Source organism: Homo sapiens, chromosome 13, assembly GCF_000001405.40.
Source record: "Homo sapiens chromosome 13, GRCh38.p14 Primary Assembly".
Classification (NCBI taxonomy): domain Eukaryota; kingdom Metazoa; phylum Chordata; class Mammalia; order Primates; family Hominidae; genus Homo; species Homo sapiens.
Genome location: NC_000013.11, coordinates 26,041,710 through 26,060,017, shown reverse-complemented (window position 1 = coordinate 26,060,017; position 18,308 = coordinate 26,041,710). Strand labels below are relative to the sequence as shown.

At 44.5% G+C, this 18,308-nt stretch overlaps 1 protein-coding gene and 1 long non-coding RNA gene across 2 annotated transcripts; both read left to right on the top strand.

The window, feature by feature from the left end:
* The first annotated feature begins 495 nt into the window (after positions 1–495).
* Positions 496–7,742, top strand: LINC00415 (long intergenic non-protein coding RNA 415). Its single transcript, NR_146971.1, has 2 exons — positions 496–549; positions 7,346–7,742. It is a non-coding gene; the product is annotated as a long intergenic non-protein coding RNA 415 (long non-coding RNA).
* Positions 7,743–8,001: 259 nt separating this feature from the next.
* Positions 8,002–15,421, top strand: SHISA2 (shisa family member 2). The gene is made up of 2 exons (NM_001007538.2): positions 8,002–9,376; positions 12,952–15,421. The coding sequence occupies exons 1-2, from the start codon at positions 9,043–9,045 to the stop codon at positions 13,503–13,505; spliced, it is 888 nt and encodes a 295-aa protein (NP_001007539.1). The 5' UTR covers positions 8,002–9,042; the 3' UTR covers positions 13,506–15,421.
* The last annotated feature ends 2,887 nt before the right edge of the window (positions 15,422–18,308 follow it).

The window sequence follows — 18,308 nt, the reverse complement described above, 5'->3', positions numbered from 1 at the left end:
TATTAGACGAGACACTATAATGATGTCAAAAAATTTAGCACAATGCCTGGTACATACCAGATGCTCAATAAATAGTGGCTATTAGCTGATTGAACTTCACCTGTTCAAGTACATTTTCTAATGTAAAAACATTAAAAAACAAACAAACAAAAAAACCCTTCCTTCTAATTCGGTAATGAAGGTAGTTAGTTGGAGACTCTCCCGATAACTGTTATATAAGAATCAACAATATGAAGCCAGAAGTGTACTGAATGCTGTAAAGCTGCGAAATGGTCTGAAATACTCAACGAGTCTTAAGGTGTTACTGGGACATTTCAGAATATGGAACATTTTCAGAATATGGAACTTGTTAAACATTGTCCTGCCCTTTTGGATACCACACAATGCAGAACATTCTCTGTTTATTCTTTCATCGGAGACATTTTGAGGAAAGGCAGAGGTGGGGTACTACTCAAGGACTCTTTAAACAAACATGAAGTTTAATTCAATTGTTTCCTGAGAGGTTGACTTCTTCCAAAAGCCAAAGAAAATCTCTTACTAATCCAAAAGGTACAAAAATGAGGTTGAAACCATAGAACGAGGGAGGGCTTGGTTTGAAAAAGTTAACGTATTTGGACAGGGATAATTATGAGCACTGTGAGGCTGCGCTGTGAAGGCAGTAATTCTGCTTCTGTTAAAATAAGCAGCACAATGATTCTTTTATCTTTTTATGTTTTTACCAGGAGGCTGCTAAGGCAGCTTTGATAAAGGGAGTTCCTATTTATACCAAATCTAAACACCCAGGATCAATGGGACTTTTTTCCCTATGACCTGATCATATAAAAACAATGATTTTAATAATGAGAAATCTCAAGGAAACTATAATCCAAAAATGCCTTCTGAATTATTTTAATTAAAAATATGAAATTATATTCAAGCAATCTAGTTTCTCAGCCTGAATGTAAAACAATATAATTTCGTACAAAACATTTCTCTACCTCCTCTTGCTCCATCCCACTCAGAAATGTTTCTCCACTGTGGGAATCCCTGAAAGTGTCTCCAGGTGCTTCTCGAACTCATATTCCTGGTAAGCAGGAAGTGGGCACAGTTTCCTCGTCCCTCCTCTAGCTCTCAGCCATGCCTTCTATTCTGAGAGCAGAAGTCTGGGAGATACAGCTAGTGTCTGCTGAAGGCACTGGTACTGCCACTGTCCACCAATACTGAACATGAAGCAGCTACAACCAAAGTGAAGACCGCTAATGACAGCACGTAGCTGCCACGTCCTACCATCCATCTGTGGATAGCTTACATTTTTCTTTCACATGGTAATGGAGAGGAAACAACTTGTTCCTTTTTTGCATCTTCTTTCATTGCAAAACTCTTATTTTAAGCCTCAAATCTGTGGGGGCAGGACCATGGGAGGCTATGTACTAGTAATCACCTTCCCTCTGAAACCACTCTCCAAGGATTTATTCCCAAGCATCAGTTATTTTTATTTATTTATTTTTGAGATGGAATCTAGCTCTGTCGTCCAGGCTGGAGTGCAGTGGCACAATTTCAGCTCACTGCAACAGCCACCTCCTGGGTTCAGGTGATTCTCATCCCTCAGCCTCCCTAGTAGCTAGGATTACAGGTGTGCACCACCACACCTGGCTAGTTTTTGTATCTTTAGTAGAGACAGGGTTTCACCATATTGGCCAGGCTGGTTCCTGAGCTCAAGTGATCCCCCCCCGCCTTGGCCTCCCAAAATGCTGGGATTACAGGCGTGAGCCACTGGGTGCAACCAAGCATCGGTTATTTTTTTTTCCCCTAGTCTTATCAGATAGCCTATATCTGAGCTGCTGTACAGTACTCAGAATGTTTTTCACATTTAGGTAATTTCATTGATTTCAAATTCCTTGAAACTAATAAGTCAATACTGAGGATTTTTGTGCCTGGCATATAGTACACACTTAATAAATATTTATTGAATGGATAAACTGAGCCTACTGTATGTCCAGCACTCAGAGGACTCAGAGACAAGCAAGGGCCGGGTGTAGTGACTCACATCTGTGATTCCACCACTTTGGGAGGTCAAGATGGGAGGATTGCTTGAGCCTAGGAGTTCAAGAGCAGCCTGGGCAACATAGCAAGACCCCCATCCCCACAAAAATAAAAAATTAGCCAGGCATGGTAGCACACGTAGACCCAGCTGAGGCTGAGGCAGGAGGATCTTTTGAGCCCAGAAGGTCGAGACTGCAGTGAACCGTGATTGCACCACTGCACTCCAGCCTGTGTGACAGTGAGATCTTGTCTCAAAACAAACAAACAAACAACAGCAGCAAAAAACAATGAGCAAGGTTTAGTTTCCGCCTTCAAGGAGTTGATCGTCTAGAAGAAAAGTCAAGGGAATAAAAGAAATCATAATTCCATAGGGACCAGAATAAAATGTTCTGGAGGAAATTGAACCTGGATATGTACAATATTCAAATCTTAGCAGCCAGTTGGCCTCACTCCATTCTCCAACCATTTCACATCAGCACAAATTTACTGTCTCTTATTCTAGACTGAGATCTAGTTTTCTCAAACTGTTTCTAGGGCATACATAGCTCCTGTCACTTCAAGTCTTCCCTGTATGATCCATAGATAGAGCTAAGGCCCAAGCTGCCTTATATTTGAGGACCATGGTGAAGGAAGACCTCATGCTTGCATCTCATGGCATTCCTGATGTTAGTGGAGAGGAGAAAGGGGAGGGAGGGTCTATTGGTCAACTTGGGCTGCCATAATAAATGCCACAGACTGGCGCTTAAACAGACGACATTTATTTCTCACAGTTCTGGAGGCTGGAAGTTTAAGATCAAGTTGCCTGCAAGTTTGGGTTTCTCCTGAGACCTCTCTCCTTGGCTTTCAGACAGCTGCCTTCTCACTGTGTGAGGCCACCTCCTTTGCTCTGTGCCAGCACATGGCTGGTGTCTCTTCTTCTCATAAAGACACCAGTCCTTTTGGATTAGGACCCCACTGATTTAACCTTAATTACCTCTTTAGAGGCACTATTTCCTAGTAAAGTCACTTTGGGGATTAGGGGCTTTAACATGTGAATTTTGGGGAGATACAGTTCAGTCCGTAACAAGGTTTGCAACATTTAGCTTAGGGACTTGGAATTATGCTCAGAGGTATCTGGCTGTGTTTCAGACTTCCTAAATGATTCTCTTTCTGGGCCATTCACTGTTAAAAGAATAGATCCTCTCAAAATTGGTGCACCTGCTTCAGAACCTTCAGGTGACATCATGGGCAGATAACTACTTTCACAGCTGCAGACTTTTATTTATTTATTTGTTCTAGATTCTTTTTTATTATGGTGAAATACACACAACATGAAAATACCATTAGTGACATTTATTATATTTGTAATGTGTGCAACCATCACCACTGTCTGGTTCCAGAACATTTTCACCCCAAAAGGAAACCCTGTACCCATTAAGCAGTCACTTCCCCTTCTTCCTTCCTCCCAGCCCCTGACAGGCTCTGATCTACTTTGAAAGAAAAAATTTGTAGAGACAGGGTCTCACTATGTTACCCAGACCAGTCTTAAATTCCTGGGCTGAAGCGATCCACCTGCCTCAACTCCTACAAAGTGTTAGGATGACAGGTGTGAGCCACCAGGCCCAGCTCTGATCTACTTTCTGTCTCTATGGATTTGCCTGTTCTGGACATTTTATATAAATGAGCTCATACAATATGTGCCTTTTGCGTCTGGTTTCTTTCACTTGCCCAATGTTTTCAAAGTTCGTCTGTGTTGTAGCATGTATTCATACTTCATTTATTTTATGTCCAAATAATATTCCAATTGTATGAATATAACACATGTTGCATATCCATTCATTAGTTAGCAGATATTTTAGTTGTTTCCACTCTTTGGCTATTGTAAGTGTGCTGCTATGAACATTTATATAGAAGTTTTTGTATCTACATATGTTTTCATCTCTTTGGGGTTACCTAGGAGTGGACCTGCAGGGTCATATGGTTATTCTATGTCTGACTTTTTGAGGAACTGTCAAGCTGTTTTGCACAGTGGCTGAACCATTCTACATTCCCATCAATGACAGCATTCAAGGGATCTGATTTCCCCACAACCTTACCAACATTATTTCCCATTATCATTATCATTACTATTATTGTCAACCTAGTGAAAGTCAAGTGGTATCTTGTGCTTTTGATTTGCATTTCTCTAACGTCTAATGATGTTGAAGGTGTTTTCATGTGCTTGTTGGCCTTTTGTAGATCTTATTTGGAGAAATGTTTATTCAAGCCAGTTTTTTGGTTGGGTTGTCTTTTTGTTCTGGGTTGTAAGAGTTCTCTTATATTCTGGATATTAGACTCTTTTCGTATATATGATTTGCAAGTCTTCGCACATTTTGCTTTTGTTTATGCCATTCTTTTAGATAGGAAGGCATTAGTGAAATAAGCCCTCCGTGAAACTCCATATCTCCAAAATGGAAATATATCCATAGTAAACATCAAAATCAAAATTAAAGGGGGTTCAGTAAAACAATGGAGTAAGGAGGGGGGATGAGAGAGAACTATGTCAATAGTTTATAATGACAAATGAGAAGAAATATAATTGAAAATATGGAAATTACTTTTCTGGAAGTCAGTATGTCAATTACAATAAAAATAAGGAGGGTGAAAAATTAAAACTTTTAAAGCAAGAACAATTTTTTTTCATAAATTTATGAACATTTTTGAACATAAGTTTAGGTAAACAGAAGACAAAATTAAAATAAATGTAAATTAATATATTTGTTTGGGTTTTCACAAAAACACTCTAACTTAAAAGAACTTTTGGTAAACCAAATGCCAATTTTCAGTACTATTTCTATTTATGAGAGAAGAGGAGAAAAAAAAATGAATGAACCCAGTGAAAGCCATTCTCCCTAAACAGACTGCTGATGGATGTGCAGATGGTAAGAACCTTCTGCTCTTGCTGAAACTTGCAGAAAAACACTGTAGATCTTGCAGCTTTTAGAACTGCCAGCCAAATGAAATATTATTACCTCCATCTGATTTGTATCAACTCCAGTTAGTAAAGTTGTAAGTAATCATTTCTTTAGTTATATGACTTGCTATTTGTACTAGTGAAGATATGTCAGAAGTTTGCTTTTAAATCAATTGGATTTTATTCATATATATATTTATATATATATGCACAGGCACATACTGAAAGGCAAAATAACTTGAAAATATACTTTTTCAGTTAGTGACTATAGAATTCAACTTTTTTAAAAAGAGGGCTGCACTCTTTCATATGTTTTTCAATATATTTTGGCAGACTGCCTAACATTTCATTTTGATTATCATAAATTATGATTACTACTACCTATATGTTGTAATTACTAGTTATAGCTTCTCAGAAGAAACGAGTGAAATAGTTTTGGTTGTCTGTTAAGACCAATGAGGGAATTTCTTTTTATTTCCTATGGAAGGAACAAGCCTATTTTAATATCTCCCAGTGGCACCTCCCATGCAGAACCTCACTAAATACTTGGCAAGTTATTTTATAAAATTTCAGTTCAACATTCCAGATACACAAAGAAACGATAATACAAGAGAGACAAAGTGACATAAAGGACCTTTCAGCATTGAAGACAGTCAACCACTACGTAAAGTAACTATGAAAGGGCCTCTCCTTAACTTTTAAGGAAGAAAAGAAACACAGTAATTAAAAAAAAAAAAAAAGACGAATTTGCTCAGAGCGCCATACTTCTAAGTTCACCAATTATAGATTAAATTGTAGACTATTTGGCAAAAACATTGTGTTTTAAAGGTGGCACTATCCAGTCACCAAATCAATTCCAATATGAAATGTTAAACAATTTTTTTTCTTCATAAATAAACTCTGACAAATTGTGGATGTTTTGGTGAGTAGGATAAGTGGATCCTGGAAGGAGGTTATAGGCATAGGTACTGTCTGAAATAATACAATTCTAAATAGAACAATAAGTACAATTCTCTCGCATTAATTGTTTTTCCAAATGGCAAAATTGAAAGTATTCACCCTCTGAACACTACCCAAATCAACTCGTGCTGCCATAGGAGCATCTCATGATCTGTACAGGACTCCCAGTTAATCAATCCTGGGCTTTCTGTAGTGGCGGCTGTGGTGATCAGCAGTGCGGTGAGTGGGGTTTGGAGTCAGGAAGAATTGGGTGCAGTCCAGGCAAACCGACGCTCTCTATCTTTAGGGATTGAGCAAGTATCCTCACCAGTAAAATGAGGATAGTAATACTGTCTTATTTATAGGGCTGATGTGAGGATTAAATGAAACCATGCACATGAAATTCTTAGCGTGGTGCCTAGCCCATAGTAAGCTCTCAATAAATGTTGGCTAATGGTGTCTTCTAAGAAAATGACTCATTCTGAAAAACTCAATCTTCCCTTGGCTTCTTCTGGTCTCTTTTTAAGTGTTACTCCTTTGATGATTTTTCTGACCTCCTTCCCCACCCTAACCTAGATTATGTGCTTAAATTGATGCTGTTCTCATTGTGGGTAAGAGCTTTGATCATACTTGCATTCTCTTTGCTTATTCAGTTCTTTGTCTTTTTGTCTGATTTCTGTATTTTACCCTGGAGACTTTAGGCCCTATTTGAAGGAAATGGCCATGCTGTCTGGCTTCTTGATGAGTCCCAGTACCCAGCACAGAGCACAGTACACTGTAAGTGCATGGCGTGTATTTCTTGAATGAATGATTTCTTGACATTGAAATTTTTTTTAGCTTACTAGCTTAAGACATTTGGTGAATAGTGCATTTAAAGTATATAATTTTGTGTAGCTTAAAACGATACACAACCAAAAAACTGCAAGAAAACAAAGTGCAATGCTTGGAGAGAGGTTTAGTGAAAAGAATAAGGTGTGTGTTGGGGAGCAGGGACATAGGGTAGGGTTTTTTTTCTTGGATTTGACATTGTTGGGGCAAGTGGAAGAATAATCAACAATGTCTGAATCTTCACATTAACCAGGCATACACAAGCATCCAATGGCTGCTTGAACCTGAGTGTCTTTGCTGTGAATAAAACTGCCTGTGTTCTGAAGTCATGGACTTGAAAGGGACCTTAGTGATCGTCACATCCTATGCTCCACTTTATAGATGAAGAAACTGAGACCAGAAAAACGCAGTGATTCCCTGCTAGTAGGGCTGGGTCTAGAATTCAGGTCTGCTGACTCCCAGACGGTGTGGGAAGGGGCATTCGTTCCTTTAAAAATAAGCACTGCTGCTTTAATAACATCAGCACCTGTTGTTCCAGCTTCTGCAAGAGAGAAGCTATTAATTTCTCCTTCATCAAAGCTGAATTTCTGGTCTGTCTGAACCTTGTTTTCTTCCTGACTGCAGCTGTCTAAACCACTAAGGCCACATGTTGGACGGAGGCACTTTCCTGCTGGAATCCGATAAATCACCACACCCAAATATAGAAAGAAAAAGGGACACAGATCATCCACACCGTGGCCGAATGTGTGACATCTTTGCTGAACTCTCTCCGTTCCACCTTGTGGTGGAGGCCTCCAGTCCACCAAACACAGCCCTAGGCGTGTGAACCCTGCCACAAACATCGGTGCTCTTCCTGCACAGGGCCTGGGACCAACCGTGGCCAGGACATCAGCTGCTGGAAGCCGAGAGAGTTCATCTGAGTGGCGATTTTATGATCTGCAGAGTGGAAAGTAATCATAATCCCTTGAGAAGTTTGCAGAATCGAACCGAATGTTGAATGCCAAAGATCTTCACAAAGCAAGTTGAGTTTCTTCCGTTATTATTGTTATTTGTGTTAGCGAGGCCTGGATTGCTTAGGTTGGGTTTCCTCCCGCGCCTATTCCAGCAGGCAGACCCCGCCCTTGGCCACACCTTTCTCCTTGCCCGGGGTAGGAAAGTGAGGGGCTGCCCGGCGCCCGCGGGCGTCCCTGAGGTCGGGGGTGGGGGGGAGCCGCGCAGCGCGCATGCGCGCCGGGGAGCCGCCGGCCTCTATAAGAGCGCGGCTCAGCGCGGCAGCGAGCGGAGTCGGAGCTGGTCTGGCGCCGGGCGGGGCGAGGCGAGGCTGTGGGCGGCTGCTGCGCTCGGCTTCTCCCGTAGCCCGGAGGAAAGAAACTTCCGTGGGAGGCTTCCATCGGTGCGCACACCTCCCGAGGGCGAGGCAGCGACCGGGAGAGGGAGAGCCGGCCGGAGGCTGCCGGGCTCCTGTGGGACCGCGCTGCAGCCGGGGAGGCGGAGAAGGGGAACCGGGGCGAGCCGCCCGCCTGGATCCGCGCCCAGCAGCAGCCGCGGCCGCCGCCAGCTGGGCAGGCTCCCGGGACTGCGGCTGGGGGCGCGCAGGACCCTCGCCTGCGTCCTGGACGTTCCCGGGGTCAGGAGCGCTCCCTCGGCGACGTGCTGGGAAGATTGGCCGTCGGCCCCGCCGAGTGGAGCGTCGGGGCTGCACCCCCGTGGGCTGCCCGGGCGGCCCGGCCGGAGCCATGCGGACCAAGTTCGGGGCAGAGGAGGCTGAGCGCGGCCGGCTGCGTCACTTGCTGCCCAGAGCCTTGCGTGCACTGCCCGCCTTCGCCCCTTCTACCCGCCCGAGGAGGGAATAAAGGAGGGGAGACGGGCCCTGATTCGCGCGCGGGACCCTGAGGCTTAAACCCTGCGCAGAGCCCTGGCTCCAGGTCCGCGGCGGCGCGCCCAGCGGTCATTCGGCTCGAGTGAGCATCCCTTCGGGGATGCTCAGGGAGGGTCCGGTTGCCAGTGAAACCTCCAGAGGCTTCCGGACGACAGCCCCGGGGGCCTTCTGACTGCATCCCGAGATTTCCATCAGCGAGTGCAACTCATAAGGCAGTCCCTAAGGGGACCGGGCCACCGGCTGAGGACGGGGATGGCTTAGGAGCTCCTGGACCTAGGGCCCGGCGTCGTCGCCTCCTGGGCGTCGCGGCAGAGGGGAGTGGCCCGCGCGGAAAGCGCCGCGGGACAGTCAGTGACGAGGCCCGGGGGTCGCCGGGGCCACGACTTCTCGGAGACCGTCCTGCGCTCTCTGGAGACGCGCTGTCCGCGCCCAGGGTGGTGCCATGTGGGGCGCTCGCCGCTCGTCCGTCTCCTCATCCTGGAACGCCGCTTCGCTCCTGCAGCTGCTGCTGGCTGCGCTGCTGGCGGCGGGGGCGAGGGCCAGCGGCGAGTACTGCCACGGCTGGCTGGACGCGCAGGGCGTCTGGCGCATCGGCTTCCAGTGTCCCGAGCGCTTCGACGGCGGCGACGCCACCATCTGCTGCGGCAGCTGCGCGTTGCGCTACTGCTGCTCCAGCGCCGAGGCGCGCCTGGACCAGGGCGGCTGCGACAATGACCGCCAGCAGGGCGCTGGCGAGCCTGGCCGGGCGGACAAAGACGGCCCCGACGGCTCGGCAGGTAGGGCGGCCTGCGCCCAGCGCGAAAGGGAGGACGGTTGGCGTTGCCTGGACGTCAGGGACCTGGGAGTTTGAAGGGGGGAAATTCAGGAAAGGGCCTAGGACCAGGAGGCGGAGTCTGCCTTCTGGCTTATTATTTGGTCGGTGTGGGTCCCTAATTCACCCTCACGGGCCTCAGTTTCTCCATCTGTCAGCCAAAGGGTGGCTTAGAGTTAATTTTCCGAACAAAATCACACTCCTAAGGCAGTGTGGGCCACAGACAGCCCCCATATTCCTTCTGACCAGGGTCCTCCGGGCCCCTCTGGCGTCTCCTGTCTCCATAGGGCTTCATGTCTTAGGGGTACCCAAGGAGACGGCGAGGGTGCGCCCCCACCCGTGAGGGCCTGGCAGCGGTGCTCCCCTGAAGGCTCCCCGAAAGGAAGGCAGCTCCTCAGGGCTTTCCCGGGGCTGCTGCCCCGTGCCAGACGCCGCGGATTCCCATCTTCTCCACGCGGCGGCCCCTCTCCCCTGCAGCGGCCCGCCTGTGGGGCTTCTGGACTGTTTTCCTTACCACGTCAGACTTAGTAGGTGTAACATCGGAGCAGTGCCCAGCCTTGCTCTTTGTGGCTTTGATTTTTTTTTTCTTTCAAATTGCCAAAGCCAGAGTTGGAAAGTAAACCCGTGAAAGAATTTGGTAGGTTGCACTTCACTCTTCAGAAACCTTCCGGAATGCCTCCCTGGGGTGTCTACACCAGTCACTCCGTGTGTGTGTGTGTGTGTGTGTGTGTGTGTGTGTGTGTTATTTATTTCGGGGGAGGGGAGGTGTAGAGGTAAAATGGCAAACGTGTCCCCGAGGGGGCGGCTCCTCCTCTTTGTGGGCCCGTTGTGTTTACCTGGGAGGCTTTTCGCTAGCATCCTGAGCCTGGGTTCGGGCTGCTTGAGCTTTGGCACAGCGTAGTTTGTGTTTATAGAGCTGCCTCCCAGGACCTCGTGAGAGACAGCTCTTTTCAGTGCCGTTCCCTTTCGCAGTCAAGCATTTTATTAGCATGCTACTCCTATTGTTCTGCTGTCTTGAATCTGAAGAGAGCGTAATTCCAGAACCAGCGCAGTCTTAAAACGCAAGCTCAGTCTCGCAGACTGTGTGGCCATGGAAGAAAGCCCAGAGAAGGGAGCCAGACCCCGAACTGCTACAGTGAGATGTCTGCTAGATTGGGCTCATTAATGGTCTCCAAAAAGTTGGGATGGCTTTGGATTAGTCGGGACTTCTCAGGACGAGACTTCTCATGACGCCCTGTGTTGTGCATGGATGCCTTCTTCATGCTACTTTTAAACGTTTTTTTCCTAAAAATTGTATTTCTTTCACTTTTCTTCTGCAGTGAAGGGCAACATGCCTAATTAAGCCTGCCGGGGGGCTTATAGTAGCGTTACATTCCTTATCCCTGTGTAGTTATTTACATTTCCAATTAAAAATCCTGGAAAGAGAACACTTATTTCTCCCCAAAACTCATTATGTGGACTGAGGCTGGTTTCAGCTAGTTTCTGCTATGATTGGGGTACATTTTTTTTCCTGCTTTACTACTATTAATTTATTTTTTGATAACATATTTAGGGCTGGTGTCTTAATTTAGAGAATGAAATATTTATAACACGCCAAGGAAAAAGCCTGCATCCACTTCTCCAGTGATCCGTAGTTAGCCTGAAGTGATAGTGTAATTAGGACAGTTCTACTGCTGGGCGCCAGCTGTGCTGCAGACACTGTAGCAAATGTTTCTACCTGCTAAAGGGGCGCTATATATAGAAATTGCTCTGTTCAGCATTGAAACTCCAGGAAATATTCCACAGTCAGCCTTTGGTTAAATACCTATAAAGTATTGTTTTACTTACAGGGCATTATTTCTCCATAATTCCACCTGGTATTATACTTTAAAAACACTGACTCCAGCAATACCAGAACAGTGAAAAGGAGCATAATTAGAAAGCCCGGCTGCTCTAATGGATGATGAAAGGGTATTCATAGAGCTGACCTCAAAGGCGTGGTCTCCTTCCTAAAATGCTGCCCCATCCGACTCTGGGCTGGCATTATGCTTTGCCAAGACCAGTAAGACCCAATCCACCCCTGTGCTTATGTATTTCCCAAAAATATAGCCAGGAGGTTGGGGCAAGAACACATCAGAAAATGCAGGCTCTTGGTAACATAGGGTAGAATTCCACAAAAGTGGCTCAGAGGCATTCTGCAGGCACCTCCCATCTGATTCTGTCCCTGTCAACCTGCGTCTATTTTCTAAAGCCTTGTAGTGCCCTCTCTATGGCTCCTAAAAGATTTTTTTAAGAAACTAATTTTATGTATTTATTTATTTATTTGAGATGGAATCTCAATCTGTTGCCCAGGCTGGAGTACAGTGGCACAATCTCGGCTTACTGCAACTTCTGCCTCCTGGGTTCAAGCGATTCTCCTGCCTCAGCCTCCAGAGTAGCTGGGATTATAGGTGCGCGTCACCACACTCAGCTAAATTTTGTGGTTTTAGTAGAGACAGGGTCTCACCATGTTGGCCAGGCTGGTCTTGAAGTCCTGAGCTCAGGTGATCCACCCACCTTGGCCTCCCAAAGTGCTTGGATTACAGGCGTGAGCCACCGTGCCCCGCCAGAAACTAATTTTAAAATGGAGTTTGCTAGTGGTTTTATCAAAAGGTTTTTATTTTTACTTTTTATGGTTTTCTATTTTAAAATCAGCTTCCCGGGTGAAGTGTGATGGCCGTTGCTTTATGCTCTGAGGGCTTTCCCTGTGTACTCTTGCCTTCTTGGCTTGCTGTGGGTGACTCTTCTTTCTGGAACACGTCTTGTTGCTCCTGATGTTTGCTCTTGGACATTGTTTCAGGATGGCCCAATGCCTGGAATAACTTCCCTCCACCTCCACACAGACCCCATCACCTGGACCCAATGCCACCCAAGGACCCTGGCTTTTGCTAAGGAAGAGTGAAGAGGGTCTTTTTTAAACCCCTCCTTGACCCTTCTGTGCCTTACCTCTTGTACATCTGCCTTTTGGAAATGGTAGTGACTTAGAGTCTGGCCTAAATTTTTGACTTAACTGCTTATGAAAAAAGAACTTGCTAAAAAATGGTAAAAAGAAATTTGCAAGGAACTTAAATAACTTTCTGGGGGAAAAAAGACTTTTAAATAAGTTGAAGTCATTATTACTATGAAGATCCTACAACAATATGGTCGGGCAGACTTAAGTTTGGACAGTTTGATTATGGTAGGAAGTTTAGAACCATAACTGTCTTAACCTGTTAAACCCATACTTTTGCTAAATCGGATATCTGGCTCAGTCAGTCTTGCAGTTGACAAGTTGAACTAAATATTAACAGTTTGCTTCTAGGGGCTGACCTGCCATGCCTGTAGGGTCTTAGGACCTTTCTAAGCACTTGATAAAGAATGGTGCATCTTATGGACTCCTAATATGTGAACAAATTAGCCCAGTGTAGGTCCTTCAGCTGTGGGTATCAGTGTTGCTCATTCATTCATTGCCATTGCCAGTTGGCGATTGGTACTGTGTTCCTAGAGTAGATCATAATGTTGTGTTTCTGTCCTTTGCTTCAGTGCCCATCTACGTGCCGTTCCTCATTGTTGGCTCCGTGTTTGTCGCCTTTATCATCTTGGGGTCCCTGGTGGCAGCCTGTTGCTGCAGATGTCTCCGGCCTAAGCAGGATCCCCAGCAGAGCCGAGCCCCAGGGGGTAACCGCTTGATGGAGACCATCCCCATGATCCCCAGTGCCAGCACCTCCCGGGGGTCGTCCTCACGCCAGTCCAGCACAGCTGCCAGTTCCAGCTCCAGCGCCAACTCAGGGGCCCGGGCGCCCCCAACAAGGTCACAGACCAACTGTTGCTTGCCGGAAGGGACCATGAACAACGTGTATGTCAACATGCCCACGAATTTCTCTGTGCTGAACTGTCAGCAGGCCACCCAGATTGTGCCACATCAAGGGCAGTATCTGCATCCCCCATACGTGGGGTACACGGTGCAGCACGACTCTGTGCCCATGACAGCTGTGCCACCTTTCATGGACGGCCTGCAGCCTGGCTACAGGCAGATTCAGTCCCCCTTCCCTCACACCAACAGTGAACAGAAGATGTACCCAGCGGTGACTGTATAACCGAGAGTCACTGGTGGGTTCCTTTACTGAAGGGAGACGAAGGCAGGGGTGGATTCTCGAGGTGGAAGTCCGCACATGTCGGTGGTATTTATGGCACGATTCCTTTGGATGGCTTCATTTGCCCCCAGACTGTATGAAAACATCTCCGAATTAGCATTTCTGGATATGTTTCATCCAGGGTATCATTGATTTATGATGGAAAACCGGCCTCAGCTGGAGATGACTGTGATGTTGCTGATGGGTGTATAACAAATGCTTGAGTCCGAAGTGCCCTTGAGATATGGTTGACGAAAGAATTTTATAAACTGATAAATTAAGGATTTTTATTATGTTGTTATTATTATTTCTTTTTTGTTGTTGACTGCACAGGATCAAAATGCCTGTTATCTCCCTTTTACCTGGGACTTTTTTTTTTTTTTTTTTTTTTTTTAATCAGACAGGGTCTTGCTCTGTTGCCCAGGCTGGAGTGCAGTGGTGCGATCTCGGCTCACTGCAACTTCAGCCTCCTGGATTCAGGCAACACTCCTGCCTCAGCCTCCCACGTGGCTGGGATTACAGGTGCCTGCCCCCATGGCTAATTTTTTGTATTTTTTGTAGAGATGGGGTTTCACCATGTTGGCTGGGCTGGTCTCACTCTCCTGACCTCAAGCAATCTGCCTGTCTCAGCCTCCCAAAGTGCTGGGATTACAGGCGTGAGCCACCGCCCCCAGCCTGAGCCTTTTTTTTTTTCTAATGCATCCAAGGTTAAGGGGAAGACGCAAATAACAGGACTATTCTAAAAGGAAACCTGTTTGAACTCTGTGAGATCAGTCATCAGTCTCAGTATTCCACAGGCACACCTTAATTTCATTGTAAAAAGATATATATATTTTGTCTATTTTTGTGCTTTTGGGGGCCTATTTTGTGCTTTTTTACCTTATGTAGAGATCTTATTACAAAGTGATTTTCTACATTAAAAAGAGACTGAAATAAATTGTATAGTTACTTAACTAATGAAGACATTTCAGAACTCTGGGATGATTTTAATCTTGAAGTAGTAGGTGGTATAGTCATAAAACCATTCATCCCCTTCTTGATTGTATCTTAATTTTCTGGCTTTAAGGTGACATCTGAGAGGTAATGCATTCTTTTTTATATTGAAATCATAAACTATCACCCGCTGCTTCTCTGAGTTACTTTTAATTTTGCCTTGTGGTTATGGTTTGGCGTTTCCTTCTGTTTGGTTTTCAGAGCCCCATGTCTATATAGTCCTGAGTGCAAGTAATTACTATACTTGTAAATGAAGATCAGTATTTCTGCCTAGATCTGATAAAAAAATTTTCTTGTCTTAGTTATAAAAATTCAAAGAAATGTGTTACAAAGATACTTAGTATAGCTCCTCAGCCATAACCTGAGACTTGGGATGAAATTTAAACCAGATACGATTTACTTTGCAGATCATAAGGCTTTTTATACTCTTGTTATCAAAATGGCTTATTTTTCAGGCACTAAGGATTGTTAAGAGAAAAGCTTTTCAACGAAGGATTGCCTTTCTTCTCCCACACTGTTCTTGATTTCCTCTCTCTTTCAGGCCTCAACAGGCACTGTATTCATTGCCAATGTTCCAAATTATCAAATTCAAGTGAATTTATTTGTGTGTTCTTTACTTATATAAAAAAAGATAACTTTAAGGATGTGCAAGTACATTTCCAACTGCTAGCACAACCAGTATTTTGTAATTAAACAAATCGCTGTATGGTATGGTCTTCTACACATTTATGTCTATAGATATCTATCGATCATCTTTCTATTCTGTTTCATGACTGAATAATGTAAAACCAGTGTTGGCAATTGGTATCATCAATGATACTCATTTTTTAATAACCAAAGGCAGGGGAAAATCATTTTACTTATTAATAAATATTTTATGATGTGAATTCCTAGCGGAGTTGGGTTTCTTTTTTCATTTTCATTGTACTTGGTAATTTTTCAGATGGTCTAGTCAACCCTGTTAATAGAATAAAATTTCTAAAAATTATGAATGTTGCTTTCTAGAACCAAGAGCCTATTTTTCAAAGTAATATCTGGGAAACTTACGTGAATGTTCTGAGTCAGTGAGTATTATTTTACAGGTTGACATGTTGACAACACAAAAGAAACAGTTCTTTTGGAATCATTATATTATGAGGCTAATGGGTGTTCCCTGTATTGTCTTTGATGGTGGATTCCTGCTTACCTCTGGAAGTGGAATTCCTAGAACTTTGGAATTTAAAGGGATCTCAGATGTCACCCAGCCTAAAGATTGGCAAGCTTTTTTTTTCAGTAAAAATCCAGAGTCTGGCTGGGCTCAGTGGCTCACCCCTGTGATGGCAGCAATTTGGGAGGCCAAGGCGGGAAGATCGCTGGAGACCAGGAGTTCCAGTCAAGCCTGGGCAACATAGCGAGACCCCATCTCTACAAAAAAAGAAAAAATAAATAAAAATTAGCTGGGCGTGGTGGCGTACTTGGTAGTATCAGTGATTTGGGAGGTTGAGGCATGAGGTTCACTTGCAAGCTCAGGAGTTGGAGGCAGCAGTGAGCTATGATTTCACTACTACATTCCAGCCTGGGTGACAGAGTGAAAACCTGTCTCCAAAAAAATAAGAAAAAAAGATCCTGAGAGTAAATATTTTAGGTTTTGCCAGCCATATGGTATCTAGCAGCCATTCACCTCTGCAGTAGCAGCACAAAAGCAGCCATACATAGATACACATAAACAAATGAGCAAGTCTGTATGCTCATAAGACCTTTTTTTTTTTTTTTTTTTTTTTTTTGAGATGGAGTCTCACTCTGTCGTCCAGGCTGGAGTGCAGTGGTGCGATCTCGGCTCACTGCAAGCTCCGCCTCCCGGGTTCACGCCATTCTCCTCATTCTCCTGCCTCACTCAGCCTCCTGAGTAGCTGGGACCACAGGCACCCGCCACCACGCCCGGCTAATTTTTTGTATTTTTAGTAGAGACGGGGTTTCACCGCGTTAGCTAGGATGGTCTCCATCTCCTGACCTCGTGAATCGCCCCCTCCGCCTCCCAAAGTGCTGGGATTATAGGCATGAGCCACCACGCCTGGCCAAAACCTTCTTTATATGCACTGAAATTCAAATTTCGCATGATTTTGACATGTCACAAAATAATCTTCAGTTTTTTTCCCGAAAACATTTCAAAATGTAATTGTAAGCTCCAGTGCTGTACAAAAGCAGGCAGTGAGCAGGATTTCCCTGGCAGGCTATAGTTTGTCAGTCCCTCATCTAATCCTCCTTTCCCCTATGCAGGAGTCACCTCTGTGGACATTTTTGGCACTCTTTTTTAAACAGGGATGGAAAATGCTTGCTTTTCTTAGCATGAGATTGTATAGTTCTTCTATGTGGTAATTAAATACCATGATTAAAGCAAAAAAAATACACCTTAATGAATGAATTTTTCATTTAGTGACTGCTACTTGGTTTTCCAAAAGTATAACATTATTAGAAGCAACCTCAGATCTTTTCAGTTTTGGTAAGAGCTGGAAAAATTTAGCTGACAAAGCAAAAATGTTCAACTACCTGTTTTAAGGACACCTTCCTTATCATGAAATATAAATCAGAACCTATAAAGGGTAATTTGCACCTTGTAGAAATATTCCAAATTCTGTCATTTGCAGATAGAAAAATAGTTTGCTGCTGTACATTTTCTGCTGTATCTAAACCTCTAGTGTCGGTTTATGATAGTTCTAGGGGATTCCATTTCCTGCTTATAGGACAGAGAAGCAGACTCTGACTGCAAAGAAGAAAAAATTAGCTCATTGTGTCTATGAAGAGCGTGAAAACTACGCATCTGTCATTTCTGCTGCCACTGGAGAAGTTAAGATTTAGCAATAAGATCAACATCCAAAGTGGCAAAAATACCATTAAGAAAAGTGTGTTTTGGTTTCGCGTATTTCCTCTGCAACACGCACTTTCATGTAGCCTTCCATTTCTGATTACATTCTCATAAGCTTGACTAATGAAATATTTCATCTATTAAATTGACCTTGAGCTCATTCTTTTAAGATTGCAGTTTTATTTCAAGAGCTCTGTAACCCATATTTTCTCCTTGTTTTGTTATAAATGCTGATTTTTGTTTTGTTTTGTTTTGTTTGAGACAGGGTCTCATTGTGTCACCCAGGCTAGAGTGCAGTGGTACCATCATAGCTCACCACAGTCTTGAACTCCTGGGCTCTAGGGATCCTCCTGCCTTGGCCTCCCAAAATGACAAATGAGGATTTAAGTTCCTTTCAGAAGCCTTGCCTGAAGAAACCATGAAGGTTAGAACAAAGTTGGTGATGACAGTCAGGGCAAATGTTCAGAAATGGACTGAATCCCAGAGAGAAAGTTTGAATGGTGCTAAAAGTTGAGATAGTGAAGAGTTTAGAATAACACATTCTCTTCCGTTTGGCCCTTACCTTGTAGTAGCGGTCAAGACTAGTCCTTTTTTCTCTCAGGGGCTTTGTCTCTGTTTCCTGCAAACTCACAGTGGTCTTTTGCTAAAAGTGCAAGTTCCCTACCATACATATTCTCAATGATTTTTTCAAGTGGGTCAGCAGTTGAAATTAATAAACAGCAAGCTTGCTTTTAGTTGCTTGAGCTTCCTAAATGCTTAAAGGGAGTAAGTTTGTTTCTTTTTAGTGTATTTCAGAATGGAGACTTCTCATTCACTTAGCCTGGCCTTCCTCCAGTCAATCAGAATGGTCTCATGAAAATACGCAGTGTGCACTTCACCCATGTCTGGGGCTGACTTCCACTCATAGAAGTTGGGGGGAGCCCGTGGGAATC

Coding starts and splice junctions, on each gene's coding strand:
- SHISA2 (NM_001007538.2), top strand. CDS start 9,043: ATGTGGGGCGCTCGCCGCTCGTCCGTCTCCTCATCCTGGAACGCCGCT. Junction 9,377..12,951: donor CGGCCCCGACGGCTCGGCAG/GTAGGGCGGCCT, acceptor CCTTTGCTTCAG/TGCCCATCTACGTGCCGTTC.